Here is a 25,826-nt window from a genome sequence, read left to right on the forward strand (position 1 = left end):
TGCTGACACTCTCAAAAACGGCCAGTAGCAGCTCAAAAGGACTGCTTTTGTATCAAAGCCTGGCTTTGCTCTCTGATCGCTGCTGGTGGGCACAGAGCCCATCTGTGTAACTGGTTGTCACTCCCCAGACTCTTCTGCACCCTTCTTCCTCTCTGACTCCTGGCCACATCTGCCACCCACAGCCTCCCCACTCCTTACACAGCCAGCCTCCAGGCCGTCCTGCTTGGCCTGCAAATGCTCCCCTGCTGTTTCTACTGCTCTTCCCTGAGTCTCCCTATTGGTCCCAGTGCTTTGGGAGGCCAAGGTGGAGGATCACTTAAGGCCAGGAGTTTGAGACCAGCCTGGGCAACAAAGCAAGACCCTGTCTCTACAAAAAAAGTAAAAAATAAAAAAATTAGCCAGGCGTGGTGGCGCATGCCTGTAGTCCCAGCTATTTGGGAGGCTGAGGTGAGAGGATACTTGAGCCCAGGAGTTTGAAGCTGCAGTGAGCTGTGTTTGCCCCACTGCGCTGCACCTGTGAGAGAGTGAGACATTGTCTCAAAAAACAAAAGAAGAAAAAGAAAAAAGGAAGGTGGGAAGAACAAGTATGCCTTTGAAGGGCATACCTGCCTTGAGGGGCACAGATGAGGCAACCTTCAGAAAACAGGCCTGTGCAGCCACTTCTATCAGAAATGCTCACTGACTTCTTGGGGCCTAGCAGCTATCGTCTCAGCCTCTGGGTGTGGAGACCCTGCCCCATGCTAACCTGAGAGCATGAGTACAGGGTCCTCCCAGCCCACCCATGCCTCGCTTCCCCAGGACTCTGACCCAGTGCCGCGCGTGAGTTGGTTGTCATTATCCTCCTGGATTGTTAACTCTCTCATCTTTTGTGGCCCTGGTGACCTTTCTTACTTGTCTGTTCCACACCTGGATGCCTTGTGAGCAGAAACCCCTTGCTGCCTCCTCGCCTCCCTTCAGGCTTCAGGAAGCAGACAGGGAGGTAGGAACTCCAAGAGTGCAGGAGTCTCATTCTGTCGCCCAGGCTGGAGTGCAGTAGTGCCATCTTGGCTCACTGCAACCTCTGCCTCCAGGGTTCAAGCGATTCTCCTGCCTCAGCCTCCCGAGTAGCTGGGACCACAGGTGCCTGCCACCACACCCGACTAATTTTTGTATTTTTAGTGGAGACAGGGTTTCACCACGTTAGCCAGGCTGGTCTCAAACTCCTGACCTCAGGTGATCCACCTGCCTCGGCCTCCCAAAGTGCTGGGATTACAGACCTGAGCCATCGTGCCCAGCCCAAGAGTGCTTTTTGAATCTAGCAGGGTGGTAGGTCAATGTCATTTTGTTTTTCTTTTTACATTAAGACAGATGTATGCACCTCTCAGCATTAAACCTCCTTTCTGTGATGTCTTTAAGAATCACAGTCATATTGCTGTAGCCCCGTCTGTACATTCCTTCAGTTTCCTGAGGTTGGCTGGTTGCTGTTTGGAGTGGTCAGAATGCTTTCTAGCACGAGCTGGACTGGGCCTATTCAATTCACTCAGAGGCAAGGCCCCAGAGCCCTGACATGTTTGCTTGTTTCTTTTTTCTTTTGCTTTCTTTCTTTTTTTTTTTTTTGAGACGGAGTCTCGCACTGTTGCCCAGGCTGAAGTGCAGTGGCGCAATCTCCGCTCACTGCCAGCTCCGCCTCCCGGGTTCATGCCATTCTCCTGCCTCAGCCTCCCGAGTAGCTGGGACTACAGGCGCCTGCCACCATGCCCAGCTAATTTTTTGTATTTTTAGTAGAGACAGGGTTTCACTGTGTTAGCCAGGATGGTCGTGCTCGCCTGACCTCGTGATCTGCCCGCCTTGGCCTCCCAAAGTGCTGGGACTACAGGCGTGAGCCACCGTGCTCAGCCTGCTTCTTTCTTTCTTTTTTTTTTTTTTTTTTTTTTTGAGATGGAGTTTCGCTCTGTCACCCAGGCTGGAGTGCAGTGGCGCAATCTCGGCTCACTGCAACCTCCACCTCCCGGTTCAAGCGATTCTCCTGCCTCAGCCTCCTTTGTAGCTGAGATTACAGGCATGCGCAACCACACCCTGCTAATTTTGTATTTTTAGTAGAGACAGGGTTTCACCATGTTGGTCAGGTTGGTCTTGAACTCCTGACCTCAGATGATCCACCCGCCTCGGCCTCCCAAAGTGTTGGGATTACAGGCGTGTGGCACTGCACCTGGCCACTTGTTTCTTTATCAGCAAGCCCAGGGTGGGAGGCCAGGCAAGGAAGAGACCCATCCCACTGGCAAGAAGGCAGGCAGTGAGCACACCAGAGCAGTCCACCCCTGGGAGCCACAGGCCAGGCCTTTCTAACAGATTCACACTTGTTTTTGTCTTTCTGTGTGTGAGTGTGGGAGGTGGGGGTGGGGGTGGGTGGGGCAGCATGTGCTGCATTCGAGGGGTCTCCACCTTAACTGATGTACATGGCTCTTTATCCCCGTGGAGCAGCAGTGTGATGAAAAACTCTTCATAGGATTCTATCTCTTAGTACAAAATTGTTGGTAAATGGGTTTTTAAAGATATTTTTCACATTTATGTGGTCTTTCTCTTCTTGTCTCTAGCTAGAAGTGAAGTTGGAGCTTGTCTCTTTGATCCCACATATAGGACCTGCATTGTCCCACATAGGGACAGACCCTTGCCTTGGGAGGGACTGAGAGATGACTTCATGTGGCCCCTTCATTTTATAGGAGTAATCGAGTCTAGAACCAGGGTGCTACCATCTGGCAGAGTTCATGGGGAACGCAGGCCACTCAGAGAGCAGGAAATAGAGGCCAGCTGGCCACCCAGTAGTCTAATGCGTACTTCCTTGATCCTGAACTGGTTGTGAGCCATCCCTAGGGGCAACCCCTCCCCCGCCCCGTCCCTTCATGCCAGGGCTCTCTCTTTGCTTCATGGCGACCACCTTTCCTGTCCCTTTTTTCTGATCACCCTGCTCAGTGGCCTGTCATTGCTCTCTGTTGAGTGCCCCTTCCCATATGCCTCTCCTGGACCTCAGCCAGGCTGGTGTGCTGGCGATAGCACCTTGTCACCAGGGGCAGCTGCTATGCAGGGCCTGTTGGCCAGGGCCCTGCAGCGGTGGAGTCACTGGTGTGTGCAAACGTCTCTTCTCCTTTTGTGTTTCAGCGAGGATGCCATGAGGAAAGCTGGTGTGGCACACAGTAAATCCAGCAAGGATATGGAGAGCCATGTTTTCCTGAAGGCCAAGACCCGGGTAAGGCCCTAGTAAGTGGAGCCACTCTGGCAGAGAGACTTGGAGAGGAGAGCATCACAGACTCTGGAACCCCTCTGTTGGGTGTCCTAGGGTGTAGGGGTGGGGTGGTTGCTCATCGATTGATCACAGGCACAGTTGGTTTTGCCTGCAGCAGTCTGGGTCCTCCTGTGTGTCCATGGTACAGGGAGGGCACTTGGGTTGCAGGCCCAGCCTCTGGCCCCAGACCTCACTGCCGTCACCTTCCATCTGTGGTCAGCCCCTGTGAATCCTACAGGAAGCTTGCTCAGGCCCCTAGCTGGTCCTGTGGAAGGGATCAATGCCGTGAGCAAGAACCTGGTTTGTCCTCAGCCCCTCCTAGGGGTCCTTACCTAAGCCCTACAGGGCCCTGAGGCATGGGCCCAGAAGCATTCCTGTCCCCTTTTGCTAAGTGAAGAAGGTGATGCTTATCTAGAACTCGCCACAGGTGGAGTGGAGAAGAAGGATTTCCACTATATGTGGGCTTTCTCCCTGGGTGGGGCACCACACTGAGGGCTTTATGTGACCACCTCCTTTAATCTGTGTGTGCTCCCTGGGACAGAACCGTTTTACTAGAAATGAACAAAACACATATTCACTTGTGTGCACGTGTGTGTGCAAGGCAGAGCTGCAAGAGCACAGGGACTGAGGTGGGGTAGAGTGGGCTCTGTACTATGGACACGTGTGACTGAAGTGGGATAGAGTGGGCTCTGTATTATGGATACGTGTCACTGAGGTGGGGTAGAGTGGGCTCTGTACTACGGATACGTTTGATAAGCTTTTTCTTTTTCTTTAAGAGCTTTATACGGTTCACCCTTTAAAGTTTACATTTCAGTGGTCTTTAGGATATTCACAGAGTTGTGTGGCCATCACCAAAATCTAATTTTGGAACATTCATTAATAAATAAAAAGAGGTGCAGCTTCCCTGTGTTGCCCAGGCTGGTTTCAAACTTTTGGCCCTACGCCATCCTCTTGCCTAGGCCTCCCAAAGTGCTGGGGTCACAGGTGCGAGCCACCAAGCCTGGCCTAATTTTAGAACTTTTTTTTTTGAGACAGGGTCTCACTCTGTACCCAGGCTGGAGTGCAGTGGCGTGATCTCAGCCTGCTGCAGCCTCAATCTCCCGGGCTTAGGCGATCCTCCTTTCTCAGTCTTCTGAGTAGCTGGGACTACAGGCATGTGCCACCACACCCGGCTAAGTTTTTTATTTTTTGTGGAGACGAGGTCCCACTATGTTGCCCAGGCTAGTCTTGAACTCCTGATCTCAAGCTATCCCCACGCCTTGCCCTCCCTAAATGCTGGGATTACAAGTGTGAGCCACCATGCCCAGCCTTCAACATTTTTTAAAGAAACTTTATACCTGTTAGCAGTCACACTCCCTTTTCCTTCAACCCTCAGCTACCACTTATACTTTCTACTGCTGTAGATTTGCCTATTCGGAATTTTCCATATAAATATAATTGTACAACATATGGGTTTTTTTTGTTTGTGCGTGTGTGTGTGTGACAGTTTTCCTCTTGTGCCCAGGTTGGAGTGCAGTGGCACAATCTCAGCTCACTGCAACCTCCGCCTACCAGGTTCAAGCGATTCTTCCGCCTCAGCCTCCCAAGTAGCCAGGATTACAGGTGCGCACCACCACACCCGACTAATTTTTTGTATTTTTAGTAGAGACTGGGTTTCATCATGTTGGCCAGGCTGGTCTCAAACTCCTGAGCTCAGGTGATCCGCCCGCCTCAGCCTCCCAAAGTGCAGGGATTACAGGCATGAGCCACCGCACCCAGCCACGTACAATATATGTTTTTATTTTGCAGCTGGCTTATTTCACTTAGCATAATATTTTCAAGGTTCAAGGTCCATGAACCATGTTTGGTATATACTTTATTCCTCTTTTGTTTTTTTTAGATGGAGTCTCGCTCTGTCACCCAGGCTGGAGTGCAATGGCACGATCTCGGCTCACTGCAACCTCCACCCACTGGGTTCAAGCAAGTCTCCTGTCTCAGCCTCCTTAGTAGCTGGGATTACAGGTGTGTGCCACCATGCCTGGCTAATTTTCGTATTTTTAGTAGAGATGGGTTTTGCATTGGTCTGGGGCTATGTTGGCCAGGCTGGTCTCAAACTCCTGACCTCAGGTGATCCACCTGCCTTGGCCTCCCAAAGTACTGGGATTACAGACGTGAGCCACCGTGCCTGGCCAACTTTATTCCTTTTTATTGTCAAATATTCCATTTCTGGATGGCCATATCACATATTTTATAGCCATTCGTTAGTTGGTGGACATTTACATAGTTTCTACTTTTTGGTTATTATGAGTAAGCAGAACAATAGTTAATGTATAAATTTTTGTGTGGGCTGTGTTTTCATTTCTCTTGGGTATATACCTAGGGGTAGAGTTGCTGGGTCATACCCTACCTCTGTATTTGACCTTTTGAGGAATTGCCAGATGTTTCCCAAAGCAACTGTACTATTTTAAATTCTCACCAGCAGCTTAAATGAGGTTTCAATTTCTCCTCATCCTCTCCAATACTTGTTATTGTCTATTTTAATTGTAGCCATTATAATGGGTGTGATTTGCATTGTTTTGATCTGCATTTGCCTAGTGACTAATGATGTTGAGCATCTTTTTCATGTGCTTTTTGGCCATTTGTATATTTTCTTTGGAGTAATGTCTATTCAGATCCTCTGTCCATTTTTAAATTGGGTTGTTAGTCTTTTTATTGTTGGGTTGTAATAGTTCTTTATGCATTTGGATATAAGTCTGTTATTAAATATATAATTTGCAAATATATAGGGGGGATTTTATTTATTTATTTTTATTTTTGTTTTTTTGAGACAGTCTCGCTCTGTCGGCCAGGCTGGAGTGCAGTGGAAGTGGAGGGATGCAGGGGGTGTTAGTGATGCATTGTAATCATCCCGGAGAGCAGGACACCTCTCATAAGAGGTTTACCCAAGGGGGGCTGTGGAAAGGGCTAGAAATTGCTCCTGGAGGACGTGGAAAGCCACATAAGGTTTTTGACAGATTAGGGAAAAGGCTGTGCCACTCTTTCTGAAGATGACAGTGTAGGCAGCCTTTCCATTTTGTGCCAAAAATAAAATTTTAAATACATAAATCACAGTAGTTTCTAGGACAACTGGGTAACTACATACAAAATATTGAGGTTGAGCCCCAACTTCATACCCTATACAAAACTTAACTCAAAATAAAAAACACCAGCCAGGCATGGTGGCGCGTGCCTGTAGTCCTGCCTAATCGACAGGCTGAGGCTGGAGGGTCACTTGATCCCAGGAGTTTGAGATTACAGTAAGCTATGATTGTACCAACATGTTCCAGCCTGGGTGACAGAGTGAGACTCTGTCTCTAAAAAACTTTTTAAAAAATTAACTCAAAATGGGTCAAAAACCTAAATTTACAAGCTAAAACTATAAATATCTTAGAAGAAAGCAGAGGCGTACATCTTCATGACCTTGGATTAGGCAGTAGTTTCTTAGATATGATGCCAAAAAAGCACAAGCTACAAAAAACGTAGATAAATTTGACTTCATCAAAATTAAAAACTTGTACATCATAGGACACTGTCATAAGAGGGAAAAACAACCCATGGGATGGGAGAAAATATTTGCAAATCACATATCAGGTAAGGGTTTAATATCCAGAATACATAAAGAACTCCTACAACTCAACAACAACAACAACAACAACAACAAAAAGCAACTAAAAAATAGGCAAAATACAGCCAGGCGCGGTGGCTCACACCTGTAATCCCAGCACTTTGGGAGGCCGAGGTGGGCAGATCACGAGGTCAGGAGATTGAGACCATCCTGGCTAACATGGTGAAACCCTGTCTCTACTTAAAATACAAAAAAAGGAAAAAAAATTAGCCAGGCGTGGTGGTGGGCGCCTGTAGTCCCAGCTACTCAGGAGGCTGAGGCAGGAGAATGGCGTGAACCCGGGAGGTGGAGCTTGCAGTGAGCCAAGATCATGCCACTGCACTCCAGACTGGGTGACAGAGTGAGACTCCGTCTCAAAAAATAAATACATAAATAAAATAAATAAAAATAAATGAAATAAAAAATAGGCAAAATACTTGAATAAACCTATCTCCAAAGAAGAGATACAAATGGCCAACAACCATGTGAAAAGATGCTCAACATCACTAGTCATTAGGGGATTGCAAATAAAAACCACAATGAGATGCCACTTCATTTCCATTATAATGGCTATGATTTTTAAAAAAGACAATAATAAGCGTTGGCAAAGATGTAGAGAAATTGGAATTCTCTTTCTTTTTGAGACAGTCTCGCTCTGTCGCCCAGGCTAGAGTGCAGTGGCACAATCTCGTCTCACTACAGCCTTCGCCTCCCAAATTCCGGTGATTTTCCTGCCTCAGCCTCCTGGGTAGCTGGGACTATAGGCACACACCATCACACCCAGCTAATTTTTTTTTTTTTTTTTTGAGATGGAGTCTCGCTCTGTCGCCAGGCTAGAGTGCAGTGGCGGGATCTCGGCTCAACGCAACCTCCGCCTCCCAGGTTCAAACAATTACCCTGCCTCAGCCTCCCAAGTAGCTGGGACTACAGGCATGTGCCACCATGCCCAGCTAATTTTTGTATTTTTAGTAGAGACAGGGTTTCACCATGTTGGCCAGGATGGTCTCGATCTCTTGACTTTGTGATCCACCCACCTAGGCCTCCCAAAGTGCTGGGATTACAGGTGTGAGCCGCTGCACCCAGCCAATGCCCGGCTAACTTTTGTATTTTTAGTAGAGACAGGGTCTCATCATGTTGGCCATGCTGGTCTTGAACTCCTGACCTCAGGTGGTCTACCCATCTTGGCCTCCCCAAAGTGCTGGGATTACAGGGGTGAGCCACCGTGCCTGGCAGAGAAATTAGAATTCTCATACATTGCTGGAGAGAATGTGAAATGGTGCTGTGGAAAACAGTATGACAGTTCATCAAAAAATTGAATGTAGAGTTACCATACGACCCAGAAGTTTCACTCCCAGGTATATATCCAAGAGAAAAGAAAACATGTCCACACAAAAATATATACACAAATGTTTATAGCATCATTATAACATCATAAATAGCCAAAAATGGAAACAACCCAAATGTCTACCAGCTGATGAATGGATAAACAGAATGTAGAATATCCATACAATGAATATCATGTGGCCACACGAAGCAATGAAGGGCTGATACATGCTACAACATGGATGAAGCTAAAAACATTACATAAATGAAGCAGTCACAAAGGATGACATGTTGCATTTTTATAAAATGTCCAGAGAATACGAAGATCTATAGAGATAGTGTATTAGTTTCCCATGGCTGCCATAACAAGTTACCATAAAGTTGGAGGCTCCTATCTCTGGGTCCATGGCTCTGACTTCTGAGCCCATGTCTCTGCCCTCACTTTCTTAAAGGGTAGCACATGTTTGAGGCTGCGTAGTTTTATCAGCCTATTCCTGCTTCTAAAATTTTGGGAGTTCTTCTTTGATTTTGCCTAGTCTATAAACTTTCTACTCCAAGCTGGCAGTGTTTCTGCTGGTAGAACATTCTCAAAATCCTTGTGGAACTTCTACATATATGATGGAATTCATAGTATTAGATGAGGTTTCTCCACAGATCTTTCCTAGATAATTTCATCTCTCTTCCTCACTTCTGTGAGATGATTGAGGGGATTCATGAGTCCCATGTTTAATCTCTTTGGCACTAGAAAAATTTGGAAGATATGCCACACCCTTGGCATTCTCTACAGAACACACTTTCCTAACAGTAAATCTCCTAGTTTTAGCATTTTGGTTTTTTCCAATCTAAATAGCCTGAGAATTTCCCAAATCATTAAGTCTAGATTCCTTTCTGCTTAACAGTTCTTCCCTCAATTTCTCTCTCTTCTTTGTGTGTGTGTGTGTGTGTGTGTGTGTGTGTGTGTGTGTGTATTTTTAAAATTCTTTTTATTGTACCCTTAATTTATCTCTTTCATGTTGCTTTTTTTTTTTTTTTTTTTTTTTTTTGGAGACGGAGTCTCACTCTCTCGCCCAGGCTGGAGTGCAGTGGCGTGATCTCAGGTCATTGCAACCTCCGCCTCCTGGGTTCAGGTGATTATCCTGCCTCAGCCTCCCAAGTGGCTGGGATTATAGGTGCCCACCACCACACCCAGCTAATTTTTGTATTTTTAGTAGAGACAGGGTTTCACCATGTTGGCCAGGCTGGTCTTGAGCTCCTGACCTCAAGTGATCTGCCTGCCTTGGCCTCCCAAAGTGCTGGGATTATAGACGTGAGCCACCATGCCCGGCCTCCTCTTGCATTTTACTACAAGCAGAAAGAAGAAACCAAGCTGAGTCCTTTTTTTTATTTTTTTGAGACTGAGTCTCACTCTGTCGCCCAGGCTGGAGTGCAGTAGCGCGATCTCGGCTCATTGCAACCCCCACCTCCCAGGTTCAAGTGATTCTCCTGCCTCAGCCTCCCAAGTAGCTGGGATTACAGGTGCCCACCACCACGCCCGGCTAATTTTTGTATTTTTAGTAAAGATGGGATTTCACCATGTTGGCCAGGCTGGTCTTGAACTCCTGACCTCAGGTGATCTGCCTGCCTCAGCCTCCCAAAGTGCTGGGATTATAGGCATGAGTCACTGTGCCCGGCCCAAGCTGAGTCTTGAATGCTTTGATTGGAAGTCTGCTCAGCTAAATGTGCAAACTTATTGCTTATGATTCTGCCTTCCACACAGCTACAGGACACAATCCAGCTAAACTTTTTGCCATTATATTACAAAGATCACCTTTGCTCTAGTTTCCAGTAACATGTTCCTTGTTTCCTTTGTTTCTTTAGAATCACCTTTAATTTTCATGTTTCTAACAACATTCTGTTTTTGATAGTATATGTATTCTTGAAGATAATACAGACTTTCTGTATCAAGTTCGTCATTTCCTTTAAGGCAGAGTCTGGGTGACAGTCTTTAACATCCGCATTTCTACCCACAGCCTGTTCAAGGAAACCTAGGCCTTTTCTATCATGCTTCTCACAATTCTACTAGCCCTCCTTTGTTATTGAGTTACAAAGCCACTGCCATATTTTTAGGCACCCTACTCCTGGTAACAAAATTCGTATGTTTCCTGTGGCTGCTATAACACGTTACTACAAGCTTGGTGGCTTAAAAGAACAGAAATTTAGGCCGGGTGCGGTGGCTCACGCCTGTAATCCCAGCACTTTGGGAGGCTGAGGCGGGCAGATCACAAGATCAGGAGATCGCAACCATCCTGGCTAACATGGTGAAACCCCCGTCTCTACTAAAAATACAAAACAACTAGCCAGGCGTGGTGGCGGGCGCCTGGAGTCCCAGCTACTCGGGAGGCTGAGGCAGGAGAATGGCTGAACCCGGGAGGTGGAGCTTGCAGTGAGCCGAGATCGCGGCACTGCACACCAGCCTGGGTGACAGAGTGAGACTCTGTCTCAAAAAAACAAACAAACAAACAAATTTAATCTCACAGTTTTCAAGGCCAGATGTTCAAAGTCAGTACCATGGGTAAAAATCGCAGTGGCAGCAGGGAGGCTATAGGAGAGGAACCTGTTTCTTGCATCTTTTAGCTTTTGGTCACTGCTGGTACTCCTTGGCTTGTGGCTGTATCACTCCAGTCTTCAAGTCCAGCATCACGAGGTAAATACATTCTCTGTATTCCATCTTCACGTCGCCTTCTCTGTGTGTGTGAACTTTCCTTCTGCCTCCCTCTTAGGAGGATACATGCAATTGCACTTGGGGTCCACCCGCATAACCCAGGATAGCCCTCCATCTCAAGATGTTTAACTTCATCATATCTGCAAAGACCTTTTTCTCAAATAAGGTAACATTTACAGGTTCCAGGGAATAGGACCTGATTTAAGGACTGTTATTTAGCCTGCCACAGACAGAAAGTTGATTATTGATTGCCAAGGGTGCTGTAGGGAAATGGAGTTTTCATTTGGAGTGAAGATGATGTTCTAAAATTAGGCCAGGCACGGTGGCCCATGCCTGTAATCCCAACACTTTGGAGGCCAAGGCCAGTGGATCACTTGAGGCCAAGAGTTTGAGACCAGCCTGGCCAACATGGTGAAATCCTGCCTCTACTAAAAATACAAAAATCAGTAGGGGGTGACAGCGCATACCTGTAGTCCCAGCTACTTGGGAGGGTGAGGCAGGAGAATCACTTGAACCCAGGAAGTGGAGGTTGCAGTGAGCTGAGATGGTGCCACTTCAGCCTGTGTGACAGAGCGAGACTCCACCTCAAAAAAAAAAAAAAAAAAAAGAAACAAAATGCTTTAAAATTGATTTTGGTAATGCTGCAGAACTCTGAATGTAGTACCAAAAACCATTGAATGGCATGTTTTAAATGGGTGAATTGTATCTCAGCCAGCCTATTACATATATTTTTAATGGAACGAGTGAAAATGATGAATAACAGGTCTGTTTTCCCTTGGTGGCCAGGTCAGGGCCGTGTGGTTTCCTTGGGTGGGGGGCACTGCTGGGGCTGCCTTGTCCCTACTTGGTTTCTGATGGTGTGTCCTGTGGGCTGGGGCCAAGGTCCCATGGGGCTATGGATACTATCATGGAACCACTCTTTCTGGAATTTGATGGTATTTCAAAATCTATTAGGAAAACTCTGAGACATGAAAGCACAGAGGCGTCATATTCCTCTAATCTGGAGTCAGCAGTTGCTGTGGTTTGGTGACTTTTCCCTTGGCTGTCTCTGTGTCCCTCCTGAAGTGTCGAGGGCACATCCCCACCCTCAGGGTTGTATCTCTGCTGAGCATCTCCACACTGGCCTGTGCTAGGGCCCCACCTGACAATCACATGGAGTCACTATTGTCATCAATGGGAAGGCCTCTTTCAAGTTTCAACGCTTTTTTCCTAATAGTTGGCTTCTTTGAATCAGGATCCAAACGAGGGTCTTTTCTCCCCTCTGGCCCCTCCCAGCCTGGTGAAGGAGCAGCCCAGCTGTCCTGCAGCCCTCCCCATGGGCTCTGATGTCTCCCAAGCTGCTGATTCATCCTGCCTGCCCCCTCCTTCTTATGAACTGGGTGCTAAATCGGAGAGCAGAGAGGGTGCCGTGGTCTTTTAGCAAAAATATATCCGAAGTATTGCCTTAATTTGTATTTCTGGGCATCTTGATATTCCCATAAGACCACAATTTGGAGGTTTGGAGAGCAACAACAGCCTGACCCTTGTAAAGCTCCTATTATCTTTCCGATGGTTTCATCATTTAATTAGGGCTTGTAGACTAATTCTGGCTTTTCTCCCACATTCGTTACATGGAGTTTTTTTTGTTTTTTTTTTTTTGTCAAGAAAGGTTTTCTTTCGTCAGCCAGGGCTAGATGATTGTTTGAAACCCTGTGTGTTCAGGACCTCCAGGAATGCTGTTTTTCTGATCTTTCCAGTCTAAGGAGTCCCCCCAAGGGCCACAGATGGGTTCTCTTTGAGTGACATTTTGAGCTCAGGGCTGTGTATCTGGGGTGTTCTGGTCCATTGCTGTCATTCATTTTGATGCTTAGATGGTCCCATCCTCATCTAGCAGGAGCTCCTGTGTCTCTTGGGGCCCTCACACAACCTCTTTAGTTTTTCTTAGTCTGCTGGCATTTAGACCCAGATTGGCTGCTCCTCTAGGGAGTGAACCCTGGGGACTTCTGCCGGTAAAGTGGCATTTGGAGCATGCTACGTGGGCGCTGGTCTGTTCATTGCTTTGGGCCTTTCAGTGAACAGAACTAAGAAAAAACATGTTTTTGAAATAACAGCAACAACAAAAACCCATAATTTTACACTAATATTTCTAATTCAAATTTAAACTTATATATAGGGTTTTTACTTCTTTCATTTTAAACATGTGTCTTTTCTGTTACTATGAATATCTTGGTTTCTAATATTATTAGCATACTTGGTTGCTTTACTTTAAAATCATTTCAGAATAAACAGTTTATATTACCACTGATAACAAAAGGTAGACTAAACATTTAAGATTACCTTGAAGTTCTAATTGTCCTTAAAATGTATCCCTTTTATTGAGAACATTTTGCTTTTTGTTTCATTTTTTTAAAAAGCCTCTCAAAAGATTTCTTTTCTCTATATGATTCTGCCACCAACTTAATATTCAGCTCATTTGTTTTAGTTTATTTGGAATGTTTAGGAATTGGACCTTTTTCTTTAGATTTGCTATACTTTTCATTTTAGAAAAATATTTTAGGCTGGCTACAGTGACTCACACCTGTAATCCCAACACTTTTGGAGGTTGGGGACTGAGCAAAAGACAAGCCGGCCAACATGGCAAAACCGTGTCTCTCCAAAAAATACAAAAAATTGGCCAGGCGTGGTGGCTCACGCTTGTAATGTCAGCACTTTGGGAGGCTGAGGTGGGCGGATCAGAAGGTCAGGAGATCGAGACCATCCTGGCTAACACAGTGAAACCCCGTCTCCACTAAAAAATACAAAAAATTAGCCAGACGTGGTGGCAGGCGCCTGTAGTGCCAGCTACTTGGGAGGCTGAGGCAGGAGAATAGCTTGCACCACCCGGGAGGCGGAGCTTGCAGTGAACTGAGATTGCACCACTGCACTCCAGCTTGGGCCACAGAGTGAGACTCCATCTAAAAAATAAAAATAAATAAATAAATAAATTAGCTGGACATGGTACTGCATGCATGTAGTCCCAGCTGCTCAGGAGGCTGAGGTGGGGAGGCTCACTTGAGCCCAGGAAGTTGAAACTGCAGTGAGCGATGATCGCGTCACTGCACTCCAGCCAGGGCGACAGAGTGAGACCCCATCTCAAAAAATATATATATTTTTTAGAGAAATAAAATTCACTGAGTTGCCCCTGAGTTGCCCAGGCTGAACTCCTGGGTGTAAGCAATACTCCTACTTTATCCTTCCAAGTAGCTGGGATTACAAGACTGTGCCACTGTGCCTAGCTTTGATTTGTTTTTTTTGTTTTTTGTTTTTTGTTTTGAGACAGAGTTTTCACTCTTGTTGCCCAGGCTGGAGTGCAGTGGCGTGATCGCGGCTCACTGCAACCTCTGCCTCCTGGGTTCAAGCAATTCTCCTGCCTCAGCCTCCCAAGTAGCTGGGATTACCGGCATGCGCCACCAGGCCTGGCTAATTTTTTTTGTATTTTTAGTAGAGATGGAGTTTCACCATGTTGGCCAGGCTGGTCTTGAATTCCTGTCCTCAGGTGATCCTCCTGTCTTGGCCTCCCAAAGTGCTGGGATTACAGGTGTGAGCCAAGGTGCCCGACTTGATTTGGCTTTATCTTCTCAATAGTAAAAGATTTATGTGCTTCTGAAGTGAAAACCCATAACACTGTGGATTTAGAGAGGGCACATTTCCAGCCCAGTTCCTGATACTTGCTGGGTTGTCGATTTTCAATTTTGGTGTATCTTTCCAGTGTTTCTCATGGCAGATTTAAGCAAATATGTGTGTTTACGTTCCACAGGTCTTATATAAAAGGTGTATGTCATGCAGTGTATGTGGCACGGAGCACGTGTTTCTATCCTTTCTCCTTCCTTGTGTTCACTCCACAATATGTTGTGAGGCACTTGTGCAAGATTTCCACATGTCAAGCAAGTGTGGAAATTCTATGAAGCTTTTAACTTTTTGAGGTGGGGTCTCACTCTGTCGCCCAAGCTGGAGTGCAGTGGAGTGGTCACAGCTCATTGCAGCATTGATCTCCCAGGCTCAAGCCTCAGCCTCCCACTTTGAGGCCACTGGCGTGTGCTACCACACCAGGGTAATGTTTGTTTGTTTGTTTGTTTTGTAGAGATGGTGTCTTACTATGTTGCCCAGGCTGGTCTTAAACTCCTGGCCTCAAGGGACCCTCCTGCCTTGGCTTCCCAAAATGTTGGAATAATAGATGTGAGCCTCCACGATTGGCCTCTATGGAGTTTTTTAAGGTTTCTGTTTTCTTATCTGTAAACTGGATGTGTTAGTAGTACCTGCCTCTGGGTGGTTGGGAGAAATCAAGGCGATAATGCATGTGAATTGATGACTCCTGTGTCTGGCACTGTAAAGTGCCAAGTGCTAGCTGTTACTGTCATGATGTTCATTGTTTATGGTTTGTAATACTCAGCCTCAGGTACAGCTGGACACTTATATTTTGATAGCCAGCAGGGGAGCTGGAGCAGACCAAGTGAAGATAGGGAGTTTCCTGACTCTTTAGCCCTTTTTTCTGCAGCAGTTCTAGGGGAGTTGGTGTGCTTTGGAGCAGAAAGGGGCATAATAATCTGTCCATCTGGATGGGGGTGGGGGTGGATGGTGAGGAGTCAGGAGTGAAAGAGCCCAGCCAGGGGGATCAGAGGCGCAGTTTCAGATCCAGGGCTTTCTCCCCTGGAAAGGAGTTGTTGTGGTTGACCCATTGCGTTCAGCCCCTAGATGTTCCTAGATAAACCTGCCTTTGGGGGAATGTAGGAAGTATCATCGCCCACAAGAAAGCTCCTTGGCTGGCAGCATGACAGCTTCCTGTGCTTGTTTCTCACATCAGGCGTCCCCTCCCTCCCCGCTCCCCACTAAGCCTCCTCACGCTGGTCTGGTAGCAGAGCTGGAGCAGATGGCAGTGGCTGCGCCTACTGTGGGTCAGGAGTGGTGCTGGGCACTGCAGGATGATGATGCCTGCCCACTGCATTCCAGGTGCTGGGCTGGCAGTGGGTCTTGCTCAGCCCTGGTGTTATGCAGAAGGGCTTTGGTGACATGGTCCTGAGCCTTGTTTGAGTGTCTTATGTCTAAGTAAAAGTATCTTGTTGCTTTTGAAACCTACTTCCCCTTGTTTTACCTTTTATGGATGTGGAGAAAACAAATTCATTTAAAGTATCGCAGACCTAAAAAATGGTCCAGGGCCTTAGGAGCTGTGAGGTGTTGACCTGGCTGGCCCCCAGGCCCTTCTCCCCTCATACATGGCCACCTTGCTTCTGTTCCTGAGTGTCCTCAGGTTCCCACACCTCCATTGCCCCCATTCTCATACCACTGTCCTTCAGGGACAGGCTGCCTGTGGGCCCCCTTCACACGCACATCAGCTTTCCTATCAGTAATTGATGGGGATAGCCGGAAGCTGGGCGTGTTGACAGAACTGCCTTGGTGTCCCCTTGTTCTGGCCAGGCCTCGCTGCTTATCCCAGCTTTTCCTCTCCCCTGGGCCTTTCTTCTTCATGTTGTCCTGTGCTAATTCCCCGAGCTGAAAAAAAGAAGTGGGGTAGAGTTTGGAGATAGATGTGGGATGATAAAGATTTCAAAAGTGTCTTTGTATTTTTACACTCATCTGAGACCACTTTTCATCATCCTTCCCTCTGCCCTGCCATCTTATGAGTGTAGTGGATGGACTCTGAGTGTCACAGTGACTCAGGAGGAAGGTTGGGTGAGCAGGGCACGGAGCCGGGGCTTTGCCCCTTCCAGGCTGCCCTGCCAGAAGGATGGGCACTTCAGCAGAAGACAAGGATGCTTCTCTGAAATAAGACTTTACCTCAGACATCCGTGTATTGACCACAAGACCAACTCACAGTAGTGATTTCCCTGAAACACTTGGGAGTGAGTGTCCTTGGGGCCAAAGAGGACAATGGGTGGGAGGCAGCCCCTGCCAGACAATCTCAGAAACACAGCAGCTTGCATATAGCGGGCCTTGGCAGCCAGTGGCCTTCACCTCACCTGAGAGTGGGCTTCACCCTCTGCCTTGCCTGTGCGTAAATGGAGATGAACACAGATTCTCCCGGAAAGCGCAGCCAGGGGAGGGCCGCCCAGATTTTCAGCAGATACTGCGTCATCAGTGAAAAGGCAGCAACAGGCTGGGCTGAGAAATGAAAGCCCTTCTTTACAGATAGTGCAAAGACACAGCGGCCCACCCACGGCTGCCTCTGACAGGCCTTGTGCCCTCAGGCCAGCGCCTCATCACCCCCAACCTGCCTGTCCCCTTTGTGATGAAGAGAGGGCACTCAAGATGGCTCCCAGCTCTCTCAGCTGAGTGCCTTTCCATCAGGGGAGAGGAGTGGCCGTTGGAGGCTCTCTGTCCCCTTCTTGTTTCTTTGTGCCTGTTATTGGCCAGCCTAGCTGAGCACTGACGGCTCTCTTCCGAGAGGCGGATTCCAGAGGAGGCCGAGCAAGCGTCTGAATCTGCCTTGCAGGATGGGCTTCAGCTCGGTGCCAGCAGGCGAGGGGGCGGGAAGGGGGAGTCCGATGACTGCGCTTCTTCATCTGGTATTAAACTGCTTCCTGTTTTTACTTTTAGGACGAATACCTTTCTCTCGTGGCCAGGCTCATTATCCATTTTCGAGACATTCGTAAGTAAGATTTTGCATTTCTGGGTTGTTGAGATCTCTGTGAGAGGCCAGCCCTGACGCTGCCTCGGCAGAGCTTTCTGGGCAGGCCGTGGTGCCTGAGTCAGAAGGTCTGTGTCACCTCACTTGCTTCTGGGAAGTTCTTCACTGCCTTGCATTTGACTCCAGATCCCTCCATCCTCCCAGAGCCTTGGCCTCAAAAATGCTGATTCTAGCATCATGGAAATGCTGTCCTCAAAGTGGTCTAAACGGGTTGCTGCTTCACTTGCTCACTTAATCTCCCTTTTCATAGGGCTGTTGTTTTTACTTCTGGGAAGTTCTGTTTACCCTGGAACAGAAACTCTCTTCCCTAAAAGTTGATTTTATTGACCCATGGAGGCCAGAGACACTTAGGCATATTTTCCCTCCAGACTAGAAGCTTCTGAGGAGGACCTCCTGAGTCTGCACCCTGGCTCCCTGCTGTGCTGAGGGCCCCCGTGTTAACCTCACGTTGTGCCTCCTCTGATTCAGAGGGCCCAGTGTGGTTCTGTCAGCCAGGCAGTGGCCCCAGCTCTACAGAAATGAGTTGTCATTGCATCCTAGGGCCAGGGTCTTCGTGCTTGTGTGTGTTACGTGGAAGTATGTGGACACCAAGTGTTCCTGGATGGCCACAGCCTGCGAAGGAAACTGGGGCCAGCAGCTGCTCTGTGTTTTCAGCCAACAATGGCTCCTGCCCACTGCCGCTGCATAACCACCAGAGGCAGGCTTCTCTTGACACAGGCCTGTCGTTGGAGCATGTGCCTGGCGAGTCCTATTTCTATTCCCCTGTGGGTTAGGGACAGGCAGCTGTACCTTCAGTGTGTTGCTGGGTCAAAGGGAGACATTGAGCACTCCAGAGCCTGGTAGGTTTTGCTTCTTTCCACACTAACTTTTCACCAGAATGGCCAGCAAAGTGAACTTCACTGATCTCACTCTCTGTGGTGTTGGAAAGTCACTGGGATGTGTAAGAGGAGAAGGAGCAGCCCAGATGATCTGGCCCAGATGCGCTGGCAGACTCCGCATGTTCTGCTTTCAGGGACAGTGGCCTGGCTGGTGCACACAGTCCTGTGGGGCTCATGAGGTCATGGGAAGCAGCCGAGCAGGAGGCTCAGGGCCCCATGACTGCTACAGAAGTTCTCCGCTGGGCACTGGGGTCAGCTGGACTGGCTTCCAGCTGGCCGTGGACAGCCTCAGTTTCCTCATCTAGGTAACAGAGACACTGCCTCACCAGAGTGGGCTGCAAAGGGAGGCAGTGTCAAGTCTTGGCACCACTCCAGCCCCGCCGTGGGTTCCTGTAGTGTTCTATTATTTGTTTGCTCAGGGCTGAGCTGAGACTCTGGACCTGGGAAAAAGGAAAGCCAGAGTAGGCCCAGGGTCCCCAACCCCAGAGTGCTTCAGCCTTGGGGGCAGCTCCCTAAGGCCCCAGGTTGACCCTGGAGCTACTCTGCACCCTCTGCCCCCAGGTCTCTTGTGGGGTCAGCGCTGCCAAGAGTAGAAACACTTCCCCCAGTAGTGGGGAGTACTAGGAGCTCCGTGGGGATTAAGGCTTGGGCAAATGCCTACAGAACTGACCTACCCATGGAAATATGTGGTTATATAAAACTATGTTTACTTTCGTTTTTTTGTTTGTGTTTTCATATAGATAACAAGAAATCTCAAGCTTCCGTCAGTGGTAAGAGTTTTCCCTTTTGAGTTAAAGTTTCTCCCAACTTTGGATTTGAGGTGGCAAGAATGACATAGTGCATGCCTCATGTGCCTGGGTTAACCTGTCACTAGAGGAGAATGCTTGCGGAGAGAACTCTGGAGGGAGGAGGCTGACCAGCTGTGCCCTGACCTCTCCAGCCTTCGTCTTCCTGCAGACTGTGAAGTCGCATGATCCTCCCCATCCCGTTTCACACAAATGCTGCCTTTGCCCAGCAAAAAGATAAACACTCACAAAGCTATTAAGACATTATCCAAAAGTGTTGAGCTCTCTGGTAGAGAATTATTATGCTGTTTTCAGTGTAATAATATGTAGTAGCATTTCTGAGAAAATGCTGTGAATTCACTTTTTTAAGTTACAAAGTTTCTTTGTAAATTTAGAAATCTGGCTGGGTGCTGTGGCTCATGCCTGTAATCCCAACACTGTGGGAGGCTGAGGCAGGCAGATCAGTTGAGGTCAGGAGTTCAAGACCAGCCTGGCCAACATGGTAAAACCCCATCTCTACTAAAAATACAAAAATAGCCGGGTGTGGTGGCATGCGTTGTAGTCCCAACTACTCAGGAGGCTGAGGCATGAGAATCGCTTGAACCTGGGAGGCTGAGGTTGCAGTGAGTTGAGATCGTGCCACTGCACTCCAACCTGGATGACTGAGTGAGACTCCATCTCAAAAAAAAAGTTTAGAAATCCATATTTTTAAATTTCAGCGTTTATCACATGAGGGGAATTCTGTCAATTCAGCCTTGGTCTCTGCTGACTAAGCTGCAAGGGAAGGGGTTTAACAGATCCAGGCTGGCCAACTGCATTCTGCCATTGGGAAGGGAGTGCACTGACCTCACAGGCTGCACGCCACTGTCTGCCCTGCCCTAGACAGTAGAGCTGTACATGCCAGCTGTCTCTGCCCATGTGGGTCTCACCTCTCAGCCAGGACAGGGATTCTTGGCCAACTGGGGCTGAGCGGCAGCAAGGGCATGTGGCCAGAACATCTGGGCCCCTTGGCATTGGAGCATGGGGTCCTGGGTACCACCCAGTTGTGTGGCATGGCGGTCCTGCCAGGACATACCTGTCTGTGGGTAGCTGTTTGCTGTGAAGTCCACACTGTTGTGACAATGGCATCCTTGTCCTTGGTTGTGGCATTGCTCACTGAGCTGCTGACCTGGTGGGCTTGGGACATTTCTCCTCAGTGCTCTGTGGAGCCCTCCTCTGCACCCCTAAGCTGTTCTGGCATGGTGGCCCTGCACACAGGGGCCCAGGCTGAGTTGGACTCTGCAACAGCACGAGTGGAGCTGTGTGTGCCTGTGGACTTGTGCCCTCCCTGGGAGAGCGTCCCCTGGCCACTGTGTTACCGCTTGCTCAGAAGGGCCCATCGTGCTTTGTACGCTCACCCAGCAGGAGGGCTGGACAGCCAGGAGAGGCAGGGGTTGCCACCTGCCCTCAAGGCCTCAGCCCATCTTTAGTGTATCTGCAGGCATCAGAGAGGTCATTTGTCCCTTAACATTAGGACTCTGGTCCAGGCCAGGCTAGAGGTATGGGTCATGCAGTGACCAACACACCTGGCGTCCTAGCCATTCATATTTGGGAGTCTCCAGGAGCCTAGTCTCTTACTGCTTGGGGCTGTGAGGGGATTGAGCCTGTAGGTAGGCGAGATCTGTGCTCTGTGAGCCTTACGCCCTTTGAGCCATGGTCAGTCTGGTAGGCCCTTTCCTGAGAAGCTCTGCCCTTGTGTTCCCACAGATCCTATGAATGCACTCCAGAGCCTGACTGGCGGACCTGCTGCGGGAGCCGCTGGAATTGGCATGCCTCCTCGGGGCCCGGGACAGTCTCTGGGCGGGATGGGTAGCCTTGGTGCCATGGGACAGCCAATGTCTCTCTCAGGGCAGCCGCCTCCTGGGACCTCGGGGATGGCCCCTCACAGCATGGCTGTCGTGTCTACGGCAACTCCACAGAGTGAGTACCACACTTCTTGGAGGATTTGCCGCTTTCCTTGCAAACGACAACACATTTTATTCCTGTGCTTATGATGGTATCAAGAAAAGCATGGAGAAGCTCCAAATCGCTCTGGTTTTTTTGTTTTTTAAATCTTTGTTGTATGTGGAGAGAAAAGGCTTCCAATTTTCGTTGAGCTCCCAGAAGGGTTAAGTGATGCTGGGCCCTCCTCCTCCTCCTAGCCCTGGGCAGGAGGGTGGGGATGGCCTGAGACTCCATCCAAAGGTTTGTGTTTTGTGGCTGAAATAGATACAGTGTGTTTCAGAGGGTTCTCAGCTACAAGGCAGGGCTGAGTGCCAGCAACCACAACTCCACTGTCTGCCCGAGCTCTGGGCACCATCTCTTCTAGTGCTGCCCTTGCCCCTTGGTCACCATGGGTGTGGCTTGCAGCCATATTATCTTCTGGCTTCCTTTCTGTGAAGGAGACTCTGTGTCCTCTCCACACGGCTGCTGTGGTGGGAAACTGGGCTGTGATCAGGTGTTATAGGTGAACCAAAGCTGCTCTAAAGGGGAGGCAAAGAACCTCCCTCTTCTTTCCAGGACCTGTCTTTTGAGACGGGGTCTCGCTCTGTGGGCCACATTGGAGTGCAGTGGCACAATCACGGCTCACTGCAGCCTGGACATCCTGGGCTCAGGTGATCCTCACACCACAGCCTCCAAAGTAGCTGGGACTATAGGCTCACAGCACCGCGCCCGGCTAATATTTTGTATTTTTTGTAGAGATGGGACTTCACCATGTTGCCCAGGCTTATCTTGAACTCCTGGGCTCAAGCGATCTGCTCACCTCGGCCTCCCAAAGTGTTGGGATTACAGGCGTGAGCCAACGCGCCTGCCCTTAGGACCTATCTTGATGTATCCTTGAGTCCCATCAACATTTCTTAGAGTGTGCTGTGCCCACTGCAAAGTGCTTTAGTGTTTTTTTCCCCTTTCATGTAACTTTTTATTTTTAAAATAGGAGTCACAGGAAGTTGTGGAATAGCATAGAGAGTTCCCACATGCCCTTTACCCAGCTCTCCCCAATAATAGTATCTTACATAGAACATTGTCAAAACCAAGAAATTAATGTTGAGGCAGTGTAATCACCTCAGTTAGAGACTTAGCTTGGACTTCATCAGTTTTTTTTTTTTTTTTGAGACAGAGTTTCACTCTTGTTGCCCAGGCTGGAGTGCAGTGGTGTGATCTCAGCTCACTGCAACTTCTGCCTTCCGAGTTCAAGCAGTTCTCTTGCCTCAGCCTCCGACTACCTGGGACTACAGGCGCCTGCCACCATGCCCAGCTAATTTTATATTTTTAGTGGAGATGGGGTTTCACCATGTTGGCCAGGCTGGTCTCAAACTCCTGACCTCAAGTGATCTTCTCTCCTGAGCCTCCCAAAGTGCTGGGATTACAGACGTGAGCCATCACGCCCAGCCGACTTCATCAGTTTTTTTACACTCATTCTTGGGCTACATATATGGGTATGTGTAGGTCTGTGAGATTTTACCACGTGTCAAATCAAGTAGCCATCACCACAATTGGCATGCGGAGCCGTTCCATTACCACCAACCAACTCTCTTGTGTTACCTCTCAGAGATCGCGCCCTCCCTCCAGCCTTAAGCAGTGACAATTGCTGATCTGTTGTGTGTCTCTGTAGTTCTGTCCCTTTGTGAATGTTGTATAAATGGAATCATACCATATGTGACTTTTTGAGATTGGCTTTTTAAATTCAATCTGATACCCTTGAGACCCAGCCAGGTTTTATCAGTAATTCATTCCTTTTCATCACTAAGTAGTGTTCCATGGAACGGATTTTCCACAGTTTGCTTATTCATTCACCCATGAAGGACATTTGGGTTGTTTCCTGCTTTTGCTTACTATTATGCAAACAAAGCTGCTGTGGATATCTGTGTACAGGCTTCAGTGCTTCAATATATTTTTGTCACACATCCCTCATGATAACCCTATGAAGAGGGCAGCATCGCCCCCTCTGCTTTGTCAGTGTAGCAGCTGCTAAGGAGAACTGGAGTCACACCCCAGGCCAAGAGCTGGGATCGAAGCTGCTGCCTGACCCCATCCTCACACTCCTACCCTATCCTGTGTCAGGTTTCCTCTTCTTTGGGGCCATAGGCATCCTCATTTCTACCCACTCCTGCTCTGGAATCTTCCTCCATCCCAAGCCACCTTCCCTTCTCATACCTTAATTCTCCTCTTACTTCCTGTTGTCTAACTCTCAGCACGTGCTGGTTTCCTCATCCTAGAACAATCTGCCTGGTTCTTCGTCCCAAGCTCTCATTACCTCACTATTTTTAGCACATCAGATAAGTACACCAGCTGGGTTTAGGGAGGACCCACAGAAGTGCCGGCTCAAGTTCCTTGTCACGTTCTACTCTTGTGTACTTGGTGCATTTTTTTTTTAATCATGAGCTTATACTTGATAATAAATTGTTTTTAAATGTATGAGTTTAGAATGCTCACATGAGTTGCCTTGTCATCCCACTTCAGAGACTTTGTCTTAAACCAGTTCTTTGTCAGAAGTTCAGTGGTGAAGCTTGATATCCTGCCCACGCCCTCCCCAGTCTGGCCTTGGCCCCCACATCCTGTTTTTAGCTTCCAAGGGGACTGGTCTTCTGTGTGGCACTAGTTGAAAGTTACAGTGGGGGCTGGGCACGGTGGCTCACGCCTGTAATCCCAGCACTTTGGGAGGCTGAGGCGGGCGGATCACGAGGTCAGGAGATCGAGACCATCCTGGCTAACACGGTGAGACCCCGTCTCTACTAAAAATACAAAAAATTAGCCGGGCGTAGTGGTGGGTGCCTGTAGTCCCAGCTACTCGGGAGACTAAGGCAGGAGAATGGCATGAACCTGGGAGGCGGAGCTTGCAGGGGGCGAGATCGTGCCACTGCACTCCAGCCTGGGCAACAGAGCGAGACTCTGTCTCAAAAGAAAAAAGAAAAAGTTACAGTGGATTCTCTACTTCAGGATCTTGTTACCACCTTTGTCAGAGGCCAACTCTCCCTGCCCTTCACCACTTGCCTCCCTGGTCTCCCTGAAACTAGTAGTGTTGTCTGATGGGCATTTGATACCCCTTCCTGACACCTTTCCCAAAGACTACTGCATGATTAAGGCCCTTTCAGATCTTCATCTAGTGCCACCAAGAGGACAGAGCCTGGGTCAGAGGTTTTGCCAGGGACTCTCAAAGGGTAGGCCAGGGGACATTGTGATAGTTTTCAGGTGACCCAGGTTAGTCGGAAAAGGCTGAAACTGCTGGTTGTTCCTATGGCTGGGGCTGCAGTACAGAGTTGGAAGCAAAGCTTTTCACTCTGCGCATTTTTGTTTCTCATGAGTTTTATATGACGTGCATGTAAAGCCGACTTTAAAAATAATTTCTACTGCCAGTTGTGTGATGGACTGGGGTGCTGAGGACATGTTCTCCTCCTGGATAACTAGGTTCTGGTTAGGATGCACTTTGGAATGCTGGCCTGCAGCAGTTGGGGAGGCTTTGTCCTCCTGAGCCTCAGCTGCTGCAAGGTGGGGGAAGAAAGCTTGGGATTCCTGTAGTCAGCCAGGATTTGTGCTGGGTCCTGTGTCACCCCCCATACCCCCCAGAAGCAGGTGCAGATTGGAGCAGGTGCGGATTGGAGGAACATGTCCCCAGTGTAAGACCTGTGACAGTTGCACATTAAGGTCAAGCAATCAGCATACAAAGATCACCAGCCTTGAAGGGAAGGAGAGACACCATGAAGGTGAACAGAAAAAATAGACACATGTAGGCATGCCCAGTGACCACACACACAGGAACTGTTAGTTATGGGCCATGGGGTATATAAAGAAATAAAGTGGAGAGCCGGGCACAGTGGCTCACGACTACACTCCTGGCTACTCGGGAGGCTAAGGCAGGGGGATTGCTTGAGGCCAGGAGTTTGAGGCTATGGTGAACTATCATTGCACCACTGCACTCCAGCCTGGGGGATAGAACGAGACACCATCTCTGAAAAAATAGAAAACAAAAAGGAAAAGAAAGAGCAGAAATTCAAATGAAAAAGCATCATCAGGAGCAATGAAGCAGATTTGAAACGGAACCAAATGAAAGCTGTAGAAATGAGCAATATAATTATTGAACGAAGAAAGTGGATGAATGAACAGCGCATTAGATACAGCTGAAGAAAGAATTTGTGTAATAGAAGCTACATTTGAAGAAATTATCTAGAATGTAGCACAGAGAAGAGCACATGGAAAATGTGAAAGCAAGGGTAAGAAATGAGGATAAGATCAGAAATTCTAATTGGCATCCAAGCAAAGCCCCGGAAGGATCAAATGGAGAGAATGGAAGAAAACAATATGTGAGGGGATAACTACTGAGAAAAGCCCATCTGGCCCCAACCAAGTTAGCCATCTCATCTGCTGTGAGACTGCAGAGCACCAAAGGCCAGAGGAATGTCTTAGAAATAGGCAGTTCCTGCAAAGGAGCAATGAGTACACTCAGCAGTAGAGTCAGAAAGGTAATAGAATATTGTTAAAGCATTGAGAATAGAGCTGCCAGTCACATTTGTATGCCAGCAAGACTCAAGGATGTGGAAAGCAAGCCATTTTTAGATAAACCTAGCCTTAGAGACCATCACTAAAAGATTTTCTAAAGGATAT

The 25,826-nt window shown here is 48.2% G+C and overlaps 1 protein-coding gene across 17 annotated transcripts in view, besides 5 other annotated features; it reads left to right on the forward strand.

The window, feature by feature from the left end:
* Window positions 1–25,826, forward strand: part of MED15 (mediator complex subunit 15) — an 80,010-nt gene that overhangs the window by 26,372 nt on the left and 27,812 nt on the right. For 11 of the 17 annotated variants that reach the window (XM_047441395.1, XM_047441398.1, NM_001003891.3 and 8 more), the window contains 4 exons: window positions 3,136–3,223; window positions 17,455–17,506; window positions 19,164–19,193; window positions 20,955–21,167. In XM_047441395.1, coding sequence (XP_047297351.1) covers window positions 3,146–3,223; window positions 17,455–17,506; window positions 19,164–19,193; window positions 20,955–21,167 — 373 coding nt within the window. In that variant the 5' untranslated portion in view covers window positions 3,136–3,145. Of the gene's footprint in view, window positions 1–3,135; window positions 3,235–17,035; window positions 17,367–17,454; window positions 17,507–19,163; window positions 19,194–20,954; window positions 21,168–25,826 lie in introns of those variants that run through there. The other 6 variants (XM_047441401.1, XM_047441399.1, NM_001293236.2 and 3 more) reach the window with 3 other exon arrangements.
* Window positions 3,575–3,744: an enhancer, noted in NCBI's record as "experimental_62783 CRE fragment used in MPRA reporter constructs". NCBI's record gives its function as "activates a minimal promoter by MPRAs in K562 erythroleukemia cells, with activity observed for the introgressed 22:20891928 variant allele {active_cell/tissue: K562}" and the evidence as "EXISTENCE:reporter gene assay evidence [ECO:0000049][PMID:34662402]".
* Window positions 13,343–13,512: an enhancer, noted in NCBI's record as "experimental_62800 CRE fragment used in MPRA reporter constructs". NCBI's record gives its function as "activates a minimal promoter by MPRAs in K562 erythroleukemia cells, with activity observed for both the introgressed and non-introgressed 22:20901696 variant alleles {active_cell/tissue: K562}" and the evidence as "EXISTENCE:reporter gene assay evidence [ECO:0000049][PMID:34662402]".
* Window positions 15,252–16,242: an enhancer, noted in NCBI's record as "H3K4me1 hESC enhancer chr22:20903520-20904510 (GRCh37/hg19 assembly coordinates)". NCBI's record gives its function as "activates a minimal SCP1, AML or CMV promoter by ChIP-STARR-seq in naive H9 embryonic stem cells {active_cell/tissue: H9 hESC(naive)}" and the evidence as "EXISTENCE:reporter gene assay evidence [ECO:0000049][PMID:30033119]".
* Window positions 17,325–17,414: an enhancer, noted in NCBI's record as "active region_18681". NCBI's record gives its function as "activates an Ori minimal core promoter by ATAC-STARR-seq in GM12878 lymphoblastoid cells {active_cell/tissue: GM12878}" and the evidence as "EXISTENCE:reporter gene assay evidence [ECO:0000049][PMID:35858748]".
* Window positions 20,162–20,331: an enhancer, noted in NCBI's record as "experimental_62813 CRE fragment used in MPRA reporter constructs". NCBI's record gives its function as "activates a minimal promoter by MPRAs in K562 erythroleukemia cells, with activity observed for both the introgressed and non-introgressed 22:20908515 variant alleles {active_cell/tissue: K562}" and the evidence as "EXISTENCE:reporter gene assay evidence [ECO:0000049][PMID:34662402]".

Source organism: Homo sapiens, chromosome 22 (genome assembly GCF_000001405.40).
Source record: "Homo sapiens chromosome 22, GRCh38.p14 Primary Assembly".
NCBI classification, from domain to species: Eukaryota; Metazoa; Chordata; class Mammalia; order Primates; family Hominidae; genus Homo; species Homo sapiens.